At 50.4% G+C, this 22,880-nt stretch overlaps 1 protein-coding gene and 1 long non-coding RNA gene across 8 annotated transcripts in view, besides 2 other annotated features; both read right to left on the bottom strand.

Annotated features, from left to right (window-relative positions):
• CUX2 (cut like homeobox 2) overlaps nt 1-22,880 on the bottom strand; it is a 316,390-nt gene that overhangs the window by 149,643 nt on the left and 143,867 nt on the right. For 2 of the 7 annotated variants that reach the window (XM_017019081.2, XM_017019080.2), the window contains exon 2: nt 11,067-11,149. The exons of the other annotated variants lie outside the window; for them this stretch is intronic. The gene's annotated coding sequence lies outside the window, so the exon portion shown is untranslated. The remainder of the gene's footprint in view (nt 1-11,066; nt 11,150-22,880) is intronic. 7 annotated transcript variants of the gene reach the window in all.
• On the bottom strand, nt 546-11,680 carry LOC124903018 (uncharacterized). Its single transcript, XR_007063461.1, has 2 exons — nt 10,198-11,680; nt 546-10,103 (listed from the first exon to the last, which is right to left on the bottom strand). It is a non-coding gene; the product is annotated as an uncharacterized LOC124903018 (long non-coding RNA).
• Nucleotides 7,142-7,652: an enhancer, noted in NCBI's record as "H3K4me1 hESC enhancer chr12:111631064-111631574 (GRCh37/hg19 assembly coordinates)". NCBI's record gives its function as "activates a minimal SCP1, AML or CMV promoter by ChIP-STARR-seq in naive H9 embryonic stem cells {active_cell/tissue: H9 hESC(naive)}" and the evidence as "EXISTENCE:reporter gene assay evidence [ECO:0000049][PMID:30033119]".
• Nucleotides 17,771-18,271: an enhancer, noted in NCBI's record as "H3K27ac hESC enhancer chr12:111620445-111620945 (GRCh37/hg19 assembly coordinates)". NCBI's record gives its function as "activates a minimal SCP1, AML or CMV promoter by ChIP-STARR-seq in naive H9 embryonic stem cells {active_cell/tissue: H9 hESC(naive)}" and the evidence as "EXISTENCE:reporter gene assay evidence [ECO:0000049][PMID:30033119]".

The raw sequence follows: 22,880 nt of genomic DNA, 5'->3' as shown, positions 1-22,880 counted from the left end.
TCTTCCTAAACAAATGGGAAGCATCACTGCTAATATAAATGCCCCCGCGGAGGCTAGTTTGTAAGCACGAAGATGGAAGCATTCATAAAGAGAAAATTTTCGTAGGGGTGATAAGGAGGAAGAGAGAATGAGAGGTCGAACTAAATGTTCCTGCCCCCCACCAATTCTGCTGGACTTCCTGACTCCTGGGGACACCCCAAATTTGGCTGCATCCTATACGTACATCATGGCTATTCTTTTGGGGTCTGAAGACACTGAGCCAAGTGACGACACCTCCGGGAGGGAGGCCTGGATTGAATGGGGGCTGGCCAGGTAGGGTTACCCGAGAGTCTGCCATGAGGCTCCTGCTTCCCAGATGACCCCACGACAGAAGCTCCCATCCTAGCCTCCCCCCAGCACTCCACAAACAGTGTCCAAGTAGCCGTTCCCTGTCCCGGGTGTATTTCACATCAAGCTGTACGGGGTCCTGAGATACAGTTCTTGCCACTTCCAGAAAGGAAAGAATGGGGGAGGGAGGGAAAGAAAAACACAACCTAAAAAAAAAATCCCATTTTATCTTTCTACATTTTATTAAAGTGCTTATTATCAACATGAATGTGAAATGCCTATCCAGCTGACTTTAATTACCTGAAGCTGCACCCGAGACCCCCAACTGCCTCCCCTGTAAATAAAGGTATGGCCAGGGACAGCTACACAGGGCAGGTGCAGATCCAGCTGTGGGAGAGTTCAAAGACAGGGCTCGGATCCTTGCTGCAAGAGGGGGTGTCCTCTCCTCTCCCCAAACCATAAAAAGCCACTTCCCAAAACAACACAGGCAAAAGCTTTCTCTCCAAATGCTCTCTCCCCCGCAACCCGAGGAGACTTTTATCTCTGTTCACCTCCCCTCCTGATTCTAACAGTACAGTAATGCATGTTCATCTGTGAAAAACCGAAGAGCAGGGTACCACGCAGCACGCAAACAGAGTGCTGTAGAAAAGAGCCTTCCTGCGGGCTTTTTCCTCTGTGACTGTAGATGGACACACAGACACACGAGACATAAATACACACAGACACATAAATGCACACACAGACACATACATACACACAGACACACAGAGATCCATACATGTAACACACAAACACACAGAAACACACGTACAAACATAGATACAGGGACGCCGGGACACAGAGACACATACCACAGACAGACACGTTCACATGGAGACACACACATACACAGATGCACCCAGACGTCTCAGCAGAATTGAGTTCTTACTCTATTGACTAAGAGAAAACCTGAGCATGACAGACCGGCCTGCCCTAGACCAGGGCCTGTGGATCCGTGACCTTCTCTCCACCCATCTCATTCCCTTTGTTTCTGCAGAGCCTGAAGAGGCCCAGGATGCAGGGCACGCACATTCCCAACTTAGGTGTGTGGGCTGGGTTCAAATCCTGTCTTTGGTGTTCTCCAGCCAGGAAATCCTAACGCCTGAGTCTGTTTCCTAATCTGCGCAATGGGGATAATGTTTGTGGGCATCATTTCAGCTAGAGAGATGGGGCTGGATACCACACTGAGCTGCCCAGAGTAGTACTGAAGTACAGAATGCAGATTCCAGCACCAGGAAAGCCCGAGTTCGAATCCTGCTTGCTGCTCTTGCTAGCTCTAACCCCAGGGCAAGTCAGCGTGCCTCTCCGAGCTTCAGTGTCCTCACTTGTACCACTAGAATAATAGTGATGTTGAACGAATCCCAGCCACGTCTCTTCAATCCCGCCAACGTCCAGAAATAATACCCACTCCCACTGCCGCCTTTGTCCAAGCTGCTACCCTCCCCTGCCTGGATTATTTCCGAGGCCTCCTCCCTTCTCTCTCCGCACCCACCCTTGCCTGCATTTTCCACATGGTGGATGGAGTGAGTCGCTCAAAACGTGAATCATCTCTTCTCTTTCCTTGGCTTGAAACTTGTCCATGATTTTTGCCATGGTCTTAGATTGAAATCAGACTTCTCACTGGGCCTAGAGGGCCAGGCTACTGCTCACAGCTTCCTATACCTTAGGGGGGCCCCTCTCTGCCCAACTCTATGCACTCCAGCTACACCTGCTGCTCCTGGGCCTCCGATGAGCCAGCCTCTTTCTCACCTCAGGGCATTTGCATGTGCAGTACCTGCAGCCTGCAATCCCTCCCCATCCCCCCCAGTGCTGCCACCTTCTCAGCAGGGCCCTCGCTGGCCCCACTGGCACCCCTGCCTCTAAAGCAGATCCACTTTCTCCTTCCTCCTTTTCCACAGGGCATTCAACATCATTTGCAAAGATAGTTATCTGCATATTTAATATCAGCCTCCTTCCTAGGACTAAAGCTCCGGGAGGGCAGGGACTCTTGTCTGTTTTGTTCACCTCCATAGCTCCAGCATCTAGGCCAGTGCCTGGTCCAAACCCAATAGACACTTTTTTTTTTTTTTTTGAGACAGGGTCTCACTCTGTACCTCAGGTTGGAGTGCAGTGGCACAATCTCGGCTCACTGCAACCTCCGCTTCCCAGGTTCAAGCGATTCTCCCACCTCAGCCTCCTGAGTAGCTAGGATTACAGGTGTTCACCACCACACCCGGCTAATTTTTGTATTACAGTAGAGATGGGGTTTTGCCATGTTAGCCAGGCTGGTCTCAAACTCCCGAACTCAAGTGATCTATCCACCTCGGCCTCCCAAAATGCTGGGCTTACAGGCATGAGCCACCCGCACCTGGCCTTAATAGACAATTTTTAAATGAATATTCACCTCACCAAGTTTCTCTGCCCACGGAATGACAATAATGAGTATGAAAAGATTTTGATAACTAAAGAATATTTCACATAAATAAAACAAAAAAATTATAATTCTGGAAGAATGGAAATATCTCACTTTAGGGTCCAGGGTGGGGAAGGAGAGATCAAGAACAGCAGCAAGAAAGGGAAGAAAGAAGTGAGGGTAGCAGGAAATTCCAGATGAAAGGGATGAAACCACTGGGTTCCCCCAAACAGGCTTGAGTGGGGGCACTGCTGTGGGAAAAGTGAGCACATCCTGATGTTTTAGGGCCTGGGAGAATTACCTGTATGTAAACCCATGCACATTTTGGGGCTGTGTTATTTCACTGTGTGAACCTCTCCTATGGCTCCCTGGTGGTGGGAGGTGGATCTGACCTGGCCAAGCCTCACCCATTCTACCACCCGCCTTGGATGACCTTAGACTGGCCTGAGCCACAGCCACGCTCCAGCTGGATGAAGCCATTTAAGGACAGGGAAGCTGTCTCTGCCTTCACTCAAGACAGGCCGCCACTGGCATTGAACCCAGTGCTATTTTTCAAGTCACATTTCTGAAGGAGGGTGTTGTTTTCTCCAGGAACCCTCAAGATGCCTACACGCTGCTTGCCAACAAGCCAGTAGCATGTACGCATTTATTCATTCAACAAACATGTAAGGAGCATCCCCTCTGTGCCAGGCACTGTTCCAGGCACTGGGGATCCAACAGTGGCCACCGCAAAGTCCCTGCCTGTGTGATGCTGACAGTCTAACATCCCAGCTTTCACGGATGAGGATGGGATTCTGGGCTGACATGGCATTGATCCAGTCCTGGGGGCCAGGCAGAATAGTACCAACAATAAAGATAACAATAACAGAAGCTGATCCTTTCCCACACTGACTAAGTGGTAGGCACTGAGCTAGGGGATTTAGAGGAATTATTCTCTGAGCCTCACAGCAGTCCTTCGAGAGAGATATTAGTACTTCCATTTTGCAGATGAGAAAACTGAGGCTAGGAGGGAATAGGTCAGTTGCCCCAGGTCTCAGGCTTGGGAAGCAACAGGGCTAGGATTTGCACCTGGGTCCTCCTAGCTCCAGAGCCCGTCCACTCTCTTTTAGTGCCTCTACAAGATGCCCCAATTTAAATCCCCTCTTCTCTGAGTCACTGAGCACCATCTAGACACAATATTCCTGTACATGCAGCCCCTAGTCCCTGAGCCCCACGCCTATTCCAGCTATGTATGATTAAAAGGTTTGAACTCTGCTCAATCCTCTGAAAGATTCAAGGACCCAGAACATACTGAGTGGTGATCCTGAACTTCTAGAACTGCACTGTCCAATACAGCAGCCACTAGCCTCCTGTAGTTATTTAAATTTAGTACTTCTACGTTAATTTAAATGAAATGCAATCACAAATTCAGTTCCTCGGTTGCACAAGCCATAGTCATGTGCTCAGTAACCACAACGGGTAGTGGCTACCGTACAGGATGGTTCAGATATATATCATCTACATGTTCTATGGGACAGTGCTGTTTTAGAACACCTGAGGATGTGCGATTTTGTTGTATGCCCCCCACCTGCCATTCATTTCTTCAAGCTCCAGTGGCTCCCAGAATTCCCAGCCCAAATTCTCATTGAAACCAGGGACCAAAAATGCAACCTCAAATATCAACAAAGACAATACTAAGCCCAGATACTGCTGGTGGGAATGCAACATGGTACAGCCACTTCAGAAAAACAGTTTGGCAGTTTCTTAATAAGTTAGACATAAATGTATCTTATGACCCAGCAATTCCACTCCTCTACCCAAGAGAATCGAAAACATGTGTTCAAAGATCTGCGTGCAAACTTTCACAGCAGTGCTATTCACAACAGCCAAAAAGTACAAACAACCCACATGCCCATCAACCGATGAACGGATAAAACGTGGTCTATCCATACAATGGAATATTATTTAGCAATCAAGAGAACAAAATACTCATACATGTTACCACATGGGCAAACCTTGGAAACATTATACCTAATGTAAGAAGCTGATACAAAGACCACAGATTGTATAATCCCATTTGTACGAAACGACCAGAAAAGGCAAATCTATGGATACAGCAAATAGATTTGTGGTTTCCTGGGGCTGGGAGTGGGATCAGACAGTGACTGGAAAAGGACCCAAAAGATCTTTTTTGGGGTGACAGAAATGTTTTAAAACTGGATGTGGTGATGGTTGTACAACTCCATAAATATACTAAATCGATTGTGTTGTACATGTATAATAGGTGAATTTCATGGCATATCAATTATATCTCAATAAAGCTGCTGGAAAAAAAAGAAATGAGGAGGTAGGGGAAGCTAGGCTTAGCAGCCACTCCTCATATTCATAAGGCTTGTGCTGGCTTTGAGAGCCTTGTCTTTGCATTGGTCCATCAAGATTATAACAAACATTATGGACAAGTCCTTAGTGTTGGGCTCTGTGTCCCTAGCTACGGTGATTACCAGTATCCCCATGTCACAGATGGCAGACCCAAGGGCTCAGGGAAGGCGCTTCCCCAGCTCAAGGACAGAGCGTGGAAGAACCAGGGTTCCAACTCGTGTCTGTCAGTCCACAAGATGCTCCACCCAGTTCTCCCAGCGATGTTGGCAGAAGCTTGCAAGAACCAATTTCATTCTGTACCCTTGAAATCTCACACCGGAGGCTGGTGCCCAGTGATGCCCCGCTGGCCGGGACCCATGGGGTCAGTTTCAGATGATTTCTATTCTAAAGCAATGTTTTGTGTTTCTTTTTTTTTTCTCCTAGGGGTTTATAAACTCTGTCTTTTCCATATCAGGTTGAAACTTAGAATATAGGTTGTCAGCCAACATACCAGCATTTTTCTAAAAATAACCCAAATTGGTTAAGCCATTTTTAAGCGATGGAACAGTCAGGGGAGGGAAAAAAAGGTGCGTTGGGCAGGAAAGGGAGGGAGGGATTTTAAAAGTGGTTTCACATGCTCTTTTTTGAACAGCTTCAAACAAAATACAGAAAAGGCCTTGTCTGAATGAGAGGAACGTGGACCAGTGACTGCAGGTGCTGGCTGGCCACGGGGCTGTTTGTGGCTTCTCTGGTGCACTTTGGGCCTCAGATCTGCTGCTTAAGGGATAGGAGTTTGACACCCCCGCATGTGGGTCTCCAGAACATCTCCTGTAGGGTTGGGGAGAGGGAGATGGGAGTTCACAGGCAGCAGGACTTTCTTCTGATGGCCACTGGGTGGTACAGGAGCTGGACAGCTGGGGGTCCCCAGATAGACACAACCAAGGCTGGAGTTTGCTGCCTCGCTCAGGCAAGACCACCCAGGCTCTGGGGCTGCTCGCGAACTGGATCTGCTCATGTAATCAGCCTCTCGTCTGAAGACACGCTCATTCAAATATGCTTTAAGCACCTGCTGTGTGACGGGCACCGGGTACATCAGGGACCGAGGTGACCTGTTCCCAGTTGACCTCCTGGGGCTTACAGGTGAGGGCAGGGGCCCACGAGGTGATGCCCTGGAATGACTGGGTGGGATGGGGACATGGCAAAGGAAAGACCAGCGTCCCTGCTACAGGAGGCTGCAATGCTCAGCTCTGGCCGATCGGTGCTGCATGGAACTGTGGGCCCAGCAGGGTCGGGAGTCTAGTTCTCCAGAAAGGCCCCAAATCCAGATTTTTGATGTGAAAATCTCCTGAACTGTAATCACTGGCAACAAGTTCAGACAAAAATTTTAACAATGCAGTTTGTGCCAAACAAAACAGATTTACTGGGGAGTTGGACCCCGGCCTGCCAGTTTGCAAACTCGGGTCTAGCCTGTTAATTATGCAGGATGGAGAGAATAATAACAGTGACGGCTTCCATTTATTTTGTGCTTATCACGTGCGTGGCCCTGTGCTACAAGAACCCCAGGAGGGGGGTGCTGTTATTATTCCTGTTTCGCTGATGAGCACCGCTGAGGCACAGAGAGGTTAAGTCACTTGCCTAAGGTCACACAGCTGAGGGGGCAGAGCTGGATTCAAGACAAAGAGTCTGGCTCTAGAGATTCGCTTTAGTGACAAGGCTACTGCTACCCAGGTGGCCACCGGTGTGATATGTTCATGTTGCACTGTGAGACCAAAGACCCCGCAGGAATGTGGAGGTCCTTAATGCTGTCCAGCTGAGTCACCCCTGCCTTTTGTAAGCCTATCACCCAGCAAGGTTGCGGAGGAGCCCAACCTTGGCATCCAGAATGTTGGTTTCCTTCACTGTCTGCTCCATCCTGGGACAGACTGTCTCCATCCCAGCTGGCCCTAGAGGGTCTTCAGGAGAATCTGTAATGTTTCCCAGAGGGGCACCTGTCTGCGCATGCCCTTTGCCCATCGCAGCCGGCTTCCCCCGACCTTGACATCTCATCAGGAGGCGGAGGCCAAGCCCATGGCAGTGCTGCCCACTCCAGCCAGTGAGAGGTCCCCAGGCCCAGCCGGCAGCCCCCGCAGCCCCCACACCTCCAGCGCCTTCATTCCTGGATCCCGAACAAGGGGCCTGTTCACAGCAGAACACTCATTACCATTTCCATCCGTCTTTATCCAGCAGATGTGCGGCCGGCGTTACAATTACAATAGCGAGGGAGAAAATAGAAAGAAATTTCAGAATTTGTTCCCCAAAGATATTCAAATTAGTTAATCAAGGGGCTTATTATTGCTTCTTTTCTCCCCCCCAACAGCTATCCATGAGGATAATTGATCAGCTGCTAATAACTGATTACACTTCACAAGTGTTTTCTTATGCCCATTACCAGCGTGTTTAAAGACATTTTGTAAAGTTCTAATTATTTCAAATTGTTTTGCTGTAGAAAACACCTCAGAACAGTCAGCCGCCGGCTGTGCCGGGGATGCTTGTGCCAGGTCAGAGGGTATTTGGAGGGACTAATCAGGGCTATGGGGCGCAGTCAGGCAGGTGGGATTTGGGTAATTCCACGTCTCCCTCTCTCCTGGACTCCTGTGTCGCTCTTTCCTCCCTTGAATCCATTTTCCGCCACCCTGACCACCAACCCTTAAAGACAAGCCAGGTCCAAATGCCTTGGCTCACACTCCATTCACTCTTTCCTTCACCCAACTCATTCATTTATTCATTGAACACAGTGGCTCTCAAAACTTTTGTGTCTTGGGACCCTTTTAGGTGCTTAAAAATGATGGAGGAACCTAAAGGGCTTTGTCTGGGTAGGTCACAGCAATCAATAGTCATCATATTCAAAATTAAAACTGAGACATGTTTAAAGCACAAAGATACACAAACACACACGCTATTAGCCATAGGAACGATGATGTCATCACACCTTGGATAGCTTCTGGAAAATTCCACCATGTGTTTGTGAAAGAATATGAGTAAAAAGGGCAAGTAGCAGCTTAGTATTGTTACGAAAGTAATTTGATCTTGCAAACCCCAAGGAAAAGGTCTCAGGACATCCAGGGGTCACTGACCCACACCCTGAGAGCTGCTGACTTAACCAGGACTTTTTGGGTCCTTCTCTGTGTCAGACCCCGGGTGGGCTGCGATGATGAACTGGACAGACAAGTTCTCCTTTCCTAGGGTTCCTGGTGGGGGAAGAGAGCAGCCAGCAGGGGTTATTAGCAGCCACACCTGATGAAGATCTAGTGAAAGCAGGAAAAAGGCATGAGCTGGAAGGCAGGTTATGTAGTTCTCGGGGAAAAGAAAGGGCTGGAGGAGCAGGGCTGGGTTCAAATCCCCTCAGCCATCAGGGTGCAGTGGCTGACGCCTGTAATCCCAGCACTTTGAGAGGCTGAGGTGGGAGGATCACTTGAGGTCAGGAGTTCGAGACCAGCCTGGCCAACATGGCGAAACCCCATCTCTACTAAAAATACAAAAAAATCAGCTGGGCGTCGGTGGTGTGTGCTTGTAGTCCTAGCTACTCAGGAGGCTGAGGCAGAAGAATCACTTGAACCCAGAAGGCAGAGGTTGTAGTAAGCCGAGATCACACCACTGCACTCCAACCTAGGTGACTGAGTAAGACTCCATCTCCAAAAATAAATAAATAAATAAACAAATAATAATAATCCCCTCAGCCACCTTCTCACTGCAGAACCTGGGGCTTTGCATGCGTGGGCCTCTATTGCTGGTGGTCACAGGGTGTTAGTAAGACCAAGATAAGGTGCTCAATAAAAAGCCCCCATAATTAAACTGGTATGCAGTAAGTGCTCAATAAATATCCTCCCTTATAAGCATCATGAGAGACTGACTCCTGCTCCCCACAACCTGAAGACCAACCATCCATCCCACTGGCAAGCTCAGAGCACCAGTACCAGGGGTCAGGGAGGTGCCCCGAAGGAGGTGGGGTGACACTGGCCTCTGGGCATGAACAAAGTGGGGGGGTCCCCAGGTGGAGAACAGAGGAAAGCACACTCCAGGCAAGAGGAACAGCAGGTCCAAAGGCCTGGAAGTGGGAGAAGGCACAGTGGATATCAGCAGGTATGAGATGGGAGAAGGCAGGTGGAGAGAACCTGGGCACGGGCAGACCAGTCATAAGAATAACAGTGGCAGGGCTGGGTATGGGGGCTCACGCCTGTAATCCCGACACTTTGGGGGGCCAAGGTAGGCAGATCACTTGAGGTCAGGTTCTGCAGCCTGGCCAACATGGTGAAACCCCGTCTCTGCTAAAAATACAAAAATTAGCTGGCGTGGTGGCGTGTGCCTGTAATCTCAGCTACTCCGGAAGCTGAGGCAGGAGGATTGCTTGAACGCAGGAGATGGAGGTTGCAGTGAGCTGAGATCATGCTACTGCACTCTAGCCTGGGTGACAGAGCAAGACTCTGTCTCAAAATAAATAAATAAATAAATAAATAAATAAATAAATAAATAATAAAAGAATAAGAACAATAATAGTGGTAGACAGCCACACAATGACCCCTGTGGGCCAGGCACGTTCTTAGCACTTTACCCGTGAAACTTCATTTCACCCCCTCTGCAGCTCTACCAGTTGAGTACCACCATTATCCCCATTTTATACATGGGAAAACTGAGGCTCAGACAGGTTAGCACTTGCCTGGTACACAAGATCTGTGAGTGGCGTAGCTGCAGATCCAGCCCCTGCAGAGGGGCTTTGGAGGCTCCAAGTTTTGCCCCTCTACTGTTTGTCCTCAAGGGATGCCAGGGGGTGGAGTCCCGTGGGAAGCTGGACAGCAGGACCCTCCTGGCGTGCTGGATCTGCGAGCAGGTCGGCTGTGCTCAGCTGCTGGGTCAGGAGTGAAGGTGGCTGGAGACCAGCATCGAACAGGAGGTGAGTGTGAGGAGGGTCCTTGGAGGGTGTCAGTTTCATGGCAGGAGTCAACGCACACAGATTAAAAGCCGGGGCATTCAGCTTTGGGGTAGCAGCAGACCCAACAGTGAGAGATCTTCACTGATCAAGAATGAAATCAATCTTGCACAAGCTACACATAGAGGCAGATGCCCACCTGCCTCTCTTTTGCCTTTGCTCCTCGCATCTGGGACCAACCACCTTCAGGTGTGTCTCTGTTAGGCCACAAAGGGTCTATTGATCAGCTAAAAATGCCAGGCGTCTCTCTGGATGTCCAGGAAAGATGAACTCATCTCATAGTCAAAAAGCATCAAGAGGTGGGAAAATGCAAAAGGAAGACCATGGTTAAGTGGACACCCTGGCTTGAGCAGCTTAGATAGTGGGGCCAGGCTAGGTGGAGGAATGTTCATGAATTTGGGGAGATGTCTCCCTGAGAAAGGTCAGGAACAAGAGTGTGGGGTGTGTGCGTGAATAACTAGCTGAAAGATAATCCCACCAGCAACATACTGTAATCTGGTTAGGACGGGCAAAATGGGAACCTCTGCACCCTACTCCCGAGTCCTGAGCAGTAATTGTTGCATTAAAAAGAACAAGTGCAATAAAAGCGCAAAGGCAAGGCCACAGAGAGAGAGAAGGAATGTACAGTTTATCTGATGTGTGCAGAATCAAGCACTCCTAAAAATTCAGTAAGGAAGAGATGATCAAATAGAAAAATGGGCCAGAGACTGAAATCAGTGCCTCACATAAGAGGAGATCCCAACAGTCAATGAACACACGAAAAGATGCTTAACCTCATCTGTCACCAAGGAAATGAAAATTTAAGCCACAAGGAGATAGTGCTACATACCCACCAGAATGGCTACAAGGGAAGACAGATAATACCAAGTGTTGACAAGGATGTGGATCAACTGGAACCTCATACAGGGCTGGAGGAAGTGTCAGTATCTGGGAAAACTACTTGCAGCGTCTACTAAAGCTAAACATATGCCTCCCCGTGCTCCAGCAATGCCACCCCTGGGTACCTACCCCAGAGAAATATGTTCACCAAAATACAGCCCCAGTCTTCAAAGTATGGTCACAGGCCAGCAGCGTCGGCATCACCCGAGAACCTAAGAGCAATGCAAACACTCAGACCTACTGAATCAGGATCTTGATTTTAACAAGTTCTCTAGGTGATTCATGAGTACATTAACGTTTGAGAAGCGCTGGTCTGGAATGTTCATAGAAGCAGTATTCATAATAGCCCCAGACTGGAAACAACCCAAATGCCCATTAACAGGAGAATGGATAAATACATTTGTGATCTACTCACCCAATGGAATACTACGGTGTGGCCACGAGCATGAATCAACTACCACAACAAACAATATTGATAAATCTTACAAATGCAATGTGGAACAAAACCAGCCCAGTGCAAGGGCACACACACTGTACGATTCCATTTACGTAAGAAACAGAAACTGGCAAATCAAGCCTGTGTAGTTCGGAGGCAGGAGAATGGTTATGTTGCTGGCAGGGTAGGGTGGATTAGACATGGACTAGAATGGGTACAAGGGATGTTTCTGGGTAGCAGGGAATGTTCTGTTTCTTTTTTCTTTTTGAGACAGGGTCTCATTCTGTCACCCAGGCTGGAGTATAGAGGTGCAATCATGGCTCACTGCAGCCTCAACCTCCCAGGCTCAGGAGATCCTCCCAGCTCAGCCCCTTGAGTAGCTGGGACCACAGGCGCACACCACCACACTTGGCTAATTTTTTGTAGAGTCGGGGTTTCCCCACTTTGCCCCGGCTGGTCTCAAACTCCTGGGCTCAAGTGATCCACCCGTCTCAGCCTCCCAAAGTGTTGGGATTTTGTGAGCCACTGTGCCTGGTCTGTGCACCTTTCTGTGTGAATATTCTGGGGGTAAAGGGAGGGAGGATCAGCTTTTTTCCTTCTGCCCAAAATACTCCTGAATCTGCCCACATCTTGCTGTCTCTACGGCCACAAAGCCCATCCTCTCTCACCTGGACTGGTGCAGGAGACTGCTTGCTGGTCTTCCTGCTGCCCTCTCTTCCAACAACCATGGGTGCGTTCACAAACATGAATCAGATCCTACCGCTCCGCAGCCTAAAACCTGCCGTGACAAGAGGGGTGACTTCCCATTGCTCCTGAGGCTGGGGCACCAAATGCTCCCCAGGGCCAGCAAGCTGAGTGTGACCTGGCCCCGCCCACTTCTCTGCCCTCCTTTCCCCCCCGCTCTCTGGGTTCCAACCACTCTGACGTTCTTTGGCCAAGCATCTGGCTACCTCAGGACCTTTGCACCTGCTGTTCCCATGCCTGGACCTCTTTCTCCCTAGATTTTTCCTATAACTGGCTCCTGCTGGCCTTCCCTGGCCATCCTGCTACATGGGACCCCTGTTCTTCCTCTCCCTCGGCCCCTGGTGGCTTCCTTCACAGAGCTCTGCACGCTGCTTTGATAGCACCTTTGCTGGTGTCCAGCAGTCTCTCCTGCCCAATGCTGATGGCAGGGTCCGTGTCTCTCTTGCCATGTCCCAGCCCAGGGCAGCACCTGGCACACAGCACCTGCTCCTCCTCCACACTGCATCGTCCTCTTCCTCCGCCATTTCTCACCTGCTCTTGATTTCTGATGTTGCAGACACTTGTGTTAGTAACCTGTCTATTGACGTAGAAAAATCCATTCCACAAAGTACACACAGTAGGTGCTCAATAAATGCTTGCTGAAGGAACAAGGCCAGAAGTGGCCTGGAGAGCCAAATGATGCATTTGCATAGTATTCCTGAGCCCCCCTGCCACTCAGCTGTCATCGATTTCCAGGGCTATGCCACACAGCCTGGCCAGCCCACTGAAGGTTTTCGAAATATGTCCTTGAGGGACGTAAGAAAATGAGATAGGCCAAGTTTAAAAACAGAGTGACTCAGTGCAAGCCTGTGATCGATGGCTCTGGGGTGCAGGGTGCCTGGCAGCTGTGCCCACCTGGGGCTCTGTTGGACCTGGCTCTTCAACAGATCTGAGCCAGCACTCCAGGCCCATTCTCAGCCCCATCACCCCTGCCCCCAGCACAGACATCTGTGGGCCAAAGCCAGCAGTGAAGAAGCAGGCCAGTGGGCCAGTCCATGGTCACCTGGACAGGGGGCCACAGAAACCCCAGGCTGGAGCTCTGCATGGACAGATGCCACTCAGGAGACTGAGTGGCACCTCAGGAGACCCAGCCGGCCTGTTGTGCACAGACAGGCCAACTCCAGGCACCAGTGGCACGGGGGTGCCCAGGGGTGGCAGGCCCCAAGGCCAGGGTACCCCAATCCCCAGCCAGGTCTCCAACCTATGAGCCACATGAGCCACTGAAATGCGTTTAGGTGTGGACATGGGGAGGGAGGACACTCAAGCAGGGAAAGGGGTCAGGAGTAGGGGGAGGTGGTGGTAGAGAGCTGCAATTTCACACAGAGCAGTGGGGGGGCCAGGGGAGGGTCATGGAAGAGGTGACTTTTAGGCAAAGACCTAAACGAGCGGGGACTCAGGCCATGTGACTCTCTGGGCAAGAGTCCGTTATGAGGGGGCACAGCAGGTGCAAAGGCCCCAATGCTACAGGAGTCACGAGCAAGGGAAGGATGGGTCCTGATGCCGGCGTCACTGAACCTGCAGGCTGCTGGGTGATATGGAGGCCTGGCATTGCACTGTGAGCAGGAAGCACGAATAACGCCACCAAGGGTAGCATAAGTGAACATCTGGATAGCCCCAGCTCTGCACTGGCAAGTTCTAAGCACATTCATACTTAGAGCGTAAAAATATACATCATGCTGCCAGGCACAGTGGCTCATGCCTGTAATCCCAGCACTTCAGGAGGCCGAGGTGGGTGGATCACTTGAGGTCAGGAGTTTGAAGCCAGCCTCGCCAACATGGCAAAACCCCATCTCTACCAAAAATACAAAAATTAGCCAGGCATGGTGGCACGTGCCTGTAATCCCAGCTACTCAGGAGGCTGAGGCAGGAGAATCACTCGAACCCAGGAGGTGGAGGTTGCAATGAGCTGAGATTGCACCACTGCACTCCAGTCTGGGTGATGCGGTGAAATTCTGTCTCAAAAAAAAAAAAAACATACACACATCATATCGATTTTAATACCTGCACATGTCTCAGCGACCCTCTCAGGTATGCACCATCACCATCTCCACTTCGCAGAGAAGGAAACAGAGGCTCAGAGTGGCAAGGTCATACAAGGTCACACAGCTGGCAGATGGCGGCGCTGAAGGCGAGCCCAGGGACCCTGCCTCTGTGCAGCTGCGAGCCTCACGCCACAGAGTCGCCCTTCTCTCTCTCAGCAACCATGGGTCCTGGTGGCCGGGTGTGGCCAGAATGTGCTCAGTTCCCTCTTCCCCACCCGACCTCAGGACCTGCGCGTGTGCCCTTCCCGCTCCCCTGTTCCCCGCCTAGTTTATGCTTCGGGTCTCAGCTTAACGTCATAGCAACTTAGCCTTCCCCACAAGGCCCTCATGCCACTTTCTCAGCACCTGCGTCCCCCATGGAGTGTCCACCCCTGAAGGCAGGGGCCTGGGTGGACCACATTCCTGCCTCCTATTCCCAGCACCTGGCTCAGTACACAGCTGGTCCCCATAAGTGTCACCTGACTAAGCATCCACAGTGACAACTAAGGCAGCCCTTAGATAGCTGATGTGGGAAAGGAGAGAAGGGAAGGGAAGGCAGGATGGATGCCGAGAGTGGGAAAGAGGAGAAATGCCGAGAGAGGACGTGAAAGCGAAATCTAGTGAGACGGAGACAGAAAGGGGGCGAGGGCAGAACAGAGGGCAGGAGGAGGAAGGGAGGGAGGGAGAGAGTGAGAGTGAAAGAGAGAGGACCAGAAAACAGAGTCTGAAGACAGAGTGAAAGACAGAGAAATACAGAAAGAGAGGGGGAGAGAGAGACAGGCACAGAGACAAACAGAAAGACAGGGAGGGAGGGATGAGGTATGAGAGAGAGAGGGAGAATGAGAGACCAACTACTGCCTAGCAGCTCCTACATTGCAGGCAGCCCCCTCGGACCGTGGAGCTGACACAGGCAGGTACTGTCAAGCCCCCAGCTTGTCCCCCTCGGCCAGGCTGAGCTGGGACTGGGCCTCATTAGAAGAGCTGTGACTGTAGGGGCTGGGCCTCTTGGGAGGGCTCCATTACTGAGCCTACCCAGGCTAATGGGCTCAGGGGCTGCACTGAGTGTGTGCCGGGGTCCCCTCGGGGCTCAGGGCCAGACCTCTGTCCTCAGCACCCTACTCAGCCAGTGCTGGACACCCCCACGAAGGGCTCTGGGCCTAGCACAGCCAGAAACAGCACCTCCTTCCAGCCTGCAGCTGGCGATAAGAACAGCTAGGAACTGTGGGTGAAGCGCAGGCTGGCTCAGCGGTTTCAGTACACGATTACGCCGACACCTGTCCCTGCTCTGGGTGACCACCATTTTACAGATGGCAAAAGTGAGGCATAGAGAGCTGCCATTGCTTATCGAAGGTCACCCCTCCAGTAAATAACAGAGCCAGTACTTGCTTCCAAATTTGACTTCAAGAATCCAGGTTCTCTTTCCATGATACTCATTTTAAAAACAGTACCATTTTGACACTGCTAAAGTATGATATGCATAGGATAAAAATGGCAACAGCACAGAAGAATTCAACATCAAAGTCTTCTTCCTCCAGAGGTGCCCACCTTTATTCTGTGTTCTTCTAAAGATACTTTACTTATATTCAAGCAAATACAGAAGCAGAATCTTTCTTTCCTTTGTTTTACTCAGAGGATATCCCATACCTTGTTATGCAATGTGCCTTTTTTTTTGAGACAGAGTCTCACTCTGTAGCCCAGGCTGGAGTGCAGTGGCGCCATCTTGGTTCACTGCAAGCTCCGCCTCCTGGGTCACCCCATTCTCCTCCTGCCTCAGCCTCCCGAGTAGCTGGGACTACAGGTGCCCGCCACCATGCCAGGCTAATTTTTGTATTTTTAGTAGAGACGGGGTTTCACTGTGTTAGCCGGGATGATCTCGATCTCCTGACCTCGTGATCTGCCCGCCTCGGCCTCCCACAGTGCTGGGATTACAGGCATGAGCCAACGCACCCAGCCGCAATGTGTCATTTTCTTTTCTTTTGAGACAGGGTCTCACTCTGTTGCCCAGGCTGTAGTGCAGTGGTGTGGTCATAGCTCACCACAGTCTTAAACTCCTGGCCTCCAGTGATTCTACTACTTCAGCCTCCCAAGTAGCTGGGATTACAGGTGCGTGCCACCTTACCCAGCTAATTTTTCTGTTTTTTTTTTTTTTTTTTTTTTTTTTGGTAGAGAGAAGGTTTGCCATGTTGCCTAGGCTGACAGTGTGCCATTTTCATAGAATTTATTGTCTGCTCCTTTTTATCAGTACATCAAGAGCATCCTTCTGCCTCTTTATGGTTGCAGAATATTTTGTATGGATGAGTCTTATCTATTCAGTCACTTAGGTTACTTCCAATCCCCTACTCATGGACACTCAGGTTACTTCCAATTCCCCACTCATAGACACTTAGTTTACTTCCAGTCCCCACCTTGTGGAAACAGGTTACTTCCAATCCCCGACTCATGGATACTTAGGTTTTTTCCAGGGTTTCCTCTTACTATTAATGCCACACCAACACACTGAGATGTACATCTTGGTAGTCACATATGGGTGTATCTGAAGAATAAGTTCTTAGACAAAGAAGGACTGGGTCACACAGCTGCACCTATGTAAATGTCATAGATGTTGCCAGCTTGCCCCTCAAAGGGACCACATTGATGGCTGCTCCCATCAACCCCGCAAGGGACTGCCTCTTTCCTGCAGCCATGCCGAGGATGAGGGTCAGGATGTCGAGGATGTAAAAGGGAAAAGGCAGAGGATACGGACGATTGAAGTGTGTCCAGAAGAGGGTGGCAATAGGTGACAATAGGTAGCAATGGGTGCCAGCCACCCAAGGAAAAAGTCTCACAGTAACTTCAAGGAGGTCACTTGATACCTCTTTGCCTTGACCTGGAATTCTCCTTGAGCTAAATAAGCTTGTTAGTCACAAATATCTGCAGGGGGTGGTGGGACTCCCCAAATGCCCTAGGCCAATAATTACTGCCACCAAACAGAACGCGCCAGGCACTATGTGAGCACTGATGTGTATGACCTCATTCTATCTCACAGTCACCTGGACAGGGATGCACTGTCATCAGCCCTACCTGCAGGATGGAGAAGTGACGCCCAGAGAGGTTTAGTCACTTGCCCAAGGTCACACAAAGCTAAGAATGTGATGAGGCTGGGATTCAAACCAAGGTCTGTTGACTTTAGGGTTTGAGCGTTTAACCCCCATGCTATCCTGGCTCGAAGCAATCTGGCTCCCAGCCAGGTAAACAACAACCTCACCCTGCCTCTGAGACCCCGGTGTTGCTTCTGCCTATTGCCAGACCCCTCAGACCCTGAGATTTCCTTGCACAGAATTCTCTGGTGATGTTAAACTGGCTCCTCCAACTGAGGGGACTGGAGCCTGGGCACAGCTCTATGCCCATGAAGATGAAGCAGGAGCCACCCCCAGCAGGCTTGGAGGCCCAAATGCCAGGCCTGCCTGAGGGACAGCCTGACCCTGTCATTCTTGGCTATCCCAGAGCCCAGCTGAGTCCCGACTGGATGTTCACATATCATTCATTCATTCAGTAATTCATCCAGCCATTCCACAAATATTCATTGAGTTCTCAACTGGGGTGAAGCACATAAACTTCAGAAACTGACCTGAATTTGACTTCCAGCCTCACCCATTCTTAGCTGTGTGACCTTGGACAAGTTGCTCAAGGCCTCTGAGCCTCAGTTTCTGCATCTCCCAAACAGGTAGAATTATAACCTCCTCCCAAGGTACCCGGGCAGATTGAAGGAGGAAGGTGCATGTCAAATGCTTGGTACAGGATCCGGGGCAGTTGGTGGCGAATAAATGGCTGGTGCTATTCCGATTATTGAACGAGACTGGCCCTTTCCCTGTCACCAGGGAGCTATGAGTCCCTTCATTGGCTCCCCTGGAATGTCCTTTTGGGGGCACTTGAATGTATCCTGGGCTGGCTCAGGGACCACTGTCCCATGCCCACCTGAACGAAGATGACCACTTGCCTTGGTGATCAATGTGTTACTGAGCTCAGCCAATTTCTGCAGGACCCGCTCGTCTGACCCCAAAGTCAAAGCTGCCTCCTCCTCCTTCTCCATCCCCAACGATGACTGTTCTAAAATTAGCCAGCAGTTGCCAATTCCAAGCGGAGCCAGCTTCTGGGAACTGGGAGGCCTCAGCATTGTCACCTGAGCCGCCTTCTCCATCCAACTGCGTAATGAATTGTCAGTCTCAGCCACCCCACGGATGGTCTCGAGTTTACAACTGTTCCACCGTCAAGGACGTGGGGGCTAATGGCTCTGAGAAGACGGATCAACTGGAGAACGTCAGGATGATGAATGGATTTGCCCAACGCCAGGATGCTGGCCGCCGGGCTGTATGTAAAAGAGAATGCCTAATTTGTTCATACCTGCAATTACCTGGAGCCCACTCTTCAGGTATGATTTAGCGTGGAAGTGGTCCTCTGTTTAGAGGAATTAATTATTTCAAGTGGTGCCAACCTTTGAGCTCTGATCACTATGGATAACCTCCCCGGGGCCCTAGGATGGGGGCATGTCTCTAGTTAGGTCCTGCTCTATGTGGAAGGGAACGGAACACAGATTAAACCCATCACAGTCATTCGGGAGGGCTTCAGAGATTGATTTTTATCCCCCGACCCTGCCCTGAAACATCTTTGCATCAAGTCTTCCCTTTGCACATTTTTAAACAAATGTCCCCCCACCTCCCTGTGCGCCTCCCCTCCTCCCAGATTAGGTGCACCCGTCGGAGATAATCCGATGAGTCAGTGGGTCCTTGCACCCCCCATGAATTACAAGGATTTCTCTTGCCAACCAAATATTTCATCCAGCTGTAGATATCATGAGGAAATGGCAAACAAAGAGAGAGATTTAATAACTGGAAATAAGAGTGAGGATGCAGATAGTTTAATTTTTTTTTGTATTGCATCTAATTGCAATCAACAGTAGACATCTGACACAGTGACAGCCTCAGCAAAATTGCTGCTGAGAGAACAGAATCTTTGTCTAAAAATAATCAGACATTCTGTGCACCACTGTTTGTTATAACGGTAATCGATGCTGGAGGCTTTGAATTCCATCAATTTATAGATCTGCGCAGGCCTGCCTGGCAATGGAGCTGGTGCACAGAGGCCCTCGCCGGCTCGGGCAGTGCTGGGGCCCGGTGTGTGATTAAGATAAGCCCCGATTCCTTTCATACATTCCTTATCAGGATCTAATTCTCCAGCAGGTAGAGATGTTCACAACAGTTAAAGATTAGTGCAGCTTCTCAGACGCCAAATTTGAGGGTATTGATCAATAAATCAAATCAGGCCAATCAATCGCCCAATCAGGAGAGTCTAGCCAGTGCATTATTACCGGCGCCTCCAAGCCAAAGCTTTTCATGGGTTTCATCAAAACAGCCTCACCTTGGCTTCCCGCCAGCTGCTGGCTTGCCTAATAGACTCCACAGCCGAGAGGGGCCTCCTGCCCAGCGGAAGAGCAATAAATTTCTCATCAAACAGCCGATGGAGAAACAAGATGAACATCTGTTTTGCTGCAATGAAACTCCTGTGTTCCTCAGAATGCACAAACCGCCTCTGACAGACCACCCCAAAGGCGGCTTCCCTGGCACGCGGCGGCCCCGCGGAATATTCCGCCTGGTTATTTCAATCAGGTAATTTAAGGAGACTTTTGCATTCTTCTCTCTGCAGCTGCCGGAGCTCTGCAAAGACTATTCCGGCGCAGTCGATAATAAATGCCATCCTGGGACCCTGTAGTATGAAGGCAATTTTATGATACCCATTATGTGGCAATGTAACTTCATTAAAAGCTGTTTATTCCCTCTAAGCATTTTAAGCACTTTCCCTCACCCATAAAGGAGGAGCCCGGGAGGTTATTTTTACAGAAAGGGTTCTCGGCCATATTTCTTCCCTCAATAACTCAGGGGAGCCTCGCCCACCGGCCTTCTCACTTTGAGGAGGGGAGGCAACCTTGGGTCTGGGGAGGCTGGGGGAGGACTAGGTTTTCCCTGGGACCCAGGCATGGGGCCACCACAGCTGCAGGAGCTGAGAGGTCCAGGAGAGGAGAGGACTGGAGGCCTCAGTCCCACCAGATCCTCAGAGGCCCTTTGTTCCTATCAGACTGGGAGGAAGAAAGTTCCAGAATATGAGAGCCAAAGCCAGCGTTTTCCAAACTGTGTGTCCCCTAACCTTTCCTTTTACTTTTCTATGTTGACACGAATCCAAAGAAATTATTTCTCGGCCTGTCGTAAAGGCCCAAATTCTCCTTTGCAGGGACAGCTGGCGGCTGAAGGATCATTTCTTAGCCCAAGATTTGAATGCCACATGTCAAGGGTTCTTCGGTGGAGGTCTGCAGACTCAGGCTGAGAGGAGCAATTCTTAAGGGTCCGTGGAATTGGTTTCCCTCCCTGTAGAGGGATCTGCTCATGTCCTGCGCTGGAGAAGTGGAAGGTGATTCTGCTTCTTGGAAAGCAGGAGAGGGAGGAAGTAGTGAGGGAATGAATGAGACTGTAGAGAGGAACACCTGCAGGCACCAGTCAGGGGTGTGGAGGGTTCCCGAAGACTCCTTTAATTCTGATGAGCTTGTTGTCCAAGGTGAGGAGGGACACAAGGTCAGAAGCCCAGCAGGGTGAGGTGGGGGGAGGGTGGGGTCAGGGGGCCCCATGGGGGCTGGAATTCTGCCAGGGATGCAGTGGAGCACAAGACAGGATCTGGACTAGTGCCATGGCATGATCCGGGGTCAGGGTAAAAATTACAGTCCCAGGGGCTGGGCACGGTGGCTCACGCCTGTAATCCCAGCACTTTGGTGGGCCAGGCGGGCAGGTCCCCTGAGGTCAGTAGCTCCAGACCAGCCTGGCCAACAGGGCGAAACCCTGTCTCTACTAAAAATACAAAATGAGCTGGGCATGGTGGCATGGTGGTATGTGCCTGTAGTCCCAGCTACTCGGGAGGCTGAGGCAGGAGAACCACTTGAACCCGAGAGGTGGAGGTTGCAGTGAGCTGAGATCGCACCACTGCACTCCAGCCTGGGGTACAGAGTGAGACTCAACACCAAAAAAAAAAAACAAAACCATGGCCCCTGCTGACCAATCATGTCATACACGAAACTAAAGGAAAGGGCAGGCAAAACAACAACAACAACAACAACAACAACCACGGCGATGGCTCAGATCAGCCGGAATGAACTCTGTGCCACGCACCATTCTAACCCATTCAATCCTCTCAACACCACCATGAAGTAGGATCGTTATTAATGCCATTCTGCAGATTTGGAAACTGAGGCCCAAAGAAGTGAAGTTAAACATCCCCAGGTCACACAGCTAGTAAACAGAATTCATCATGAACATTTCTTGGGTGCTTGGTGTCCCCATCCTGTGCACCTTATATGTGGTCTCCTGATTTATCTTTGTAATACTCCTCCACGGCGGGTGTTGGTATTATGCCCATCTTACAGGTGAAGAAACCAAGGCTCAGAGAGGGGAAGTGATTTAAACAGGTCAGTCAGGGGCAGGGCTGGGGCTGAAATGCATTCCAAAGTCCTTGACCCTTTTGGGCACTGTTTCCTGGCCTTCCAGGGGTCCTGCTAGGCTCCCTGTGAGGGGATCCTCAATGAGGAGGGGAGTCCACGGTCCCCTCTAGGGCTCCCACTATTGCCCTGTCCAGTCTGATCTCTGTGCGGTAGCTCAGGGAACGTCTGAAAGGTAAACTAATCCTTCCAAACCCCCCTTGGCTGCTGCTGGCTTTGAGCAAAAGGCCCTGTGTGGTCCTGCACAGTCTGCTCCCAGGCCTCTCTCAGCCCTGCTTTCCCCTGCGCCGACCGCTGACCCCCTTGCTGTCATTCCCCGTTACAGAGTCCAGACACGCTCCTGGACCTGGCACATGCACACGGTCTTCCAGCTCAGCCCTGGGATATCACCACCACAGGACATCCCCAAGCCCCCACGGCCCCTGCGCTTCCATCTGAGCCCTCATCACAGGCATAAATCATTGGACTTCATTCCAAACGGCCATCCCATAAATGTCCATCTCCCTCATTAAACCCTGACTCGGTCTTGTTCACCTGTGTACCCAGCCCCTGGCATGATGCCAGGCACATAGTAGGTATTTAAGAAATATTCATTGACTGATCAAAGTGGGGACCCCTGCCCTCCCTCCCAGTGTCCCACCCGTGACCATTCCCTTTCCATCCCAGCTGGTCCCTTGCAAATCCAGTTCTAGTTCTCAGTCACGTTCTGTGTTTTAAATGGGGGAGGGGGAGTGGCTGGACCGGGTCATAAGTCCACCCTTGAGCCAAGGAAGTTGTGGAACAAGGATGAACCCAGTCAGAGGGCTGGACTTGTCAACGTGACAGCAAATTATATTCCTGCCAGACCACAGGGCTGTCTGCCCAAAATACAGATATGTACTAGGGTCTCTCATACAGAGAGGCCACAGTATATTAGATTTATCATACACTCCAGCCAAGATGTGCTGCCGAGATTTCGGGGCAAGATTTATTACACTGGCTGGTTTTTAAAATGAAAGTGAAAAGAGGATATTCTGGCAAAGCTGCAGGCTGTTAATGGGGTGAGAATCACATAAAATAGATCATCTTGGAATCTCTTCTTCTAGACACAGACAGACCTTTGCAGAAAACCCCAGGGTTTCTGGAAAAAAGATGCTCGACCCAGTGTTTTTACACAGAACCACTGAGTGACCTTGGGTGAATTACTCTCA

This window comes from Homo sapiens, chromosome 12, assembly GCF_000001405.40.
Source record: "Homo sapiens chromosome 12, GRCh38.p14 Primary Assembly".
NCBI classification, from domain to species: Eukaryota; Metazoa; Chordata; class Mammalia; order Primates; family Hominidae; genus Homo; species Homo sapiens.
This window is presented reverse-complemented; position numbering and strand designations above follow the sequence as displayed.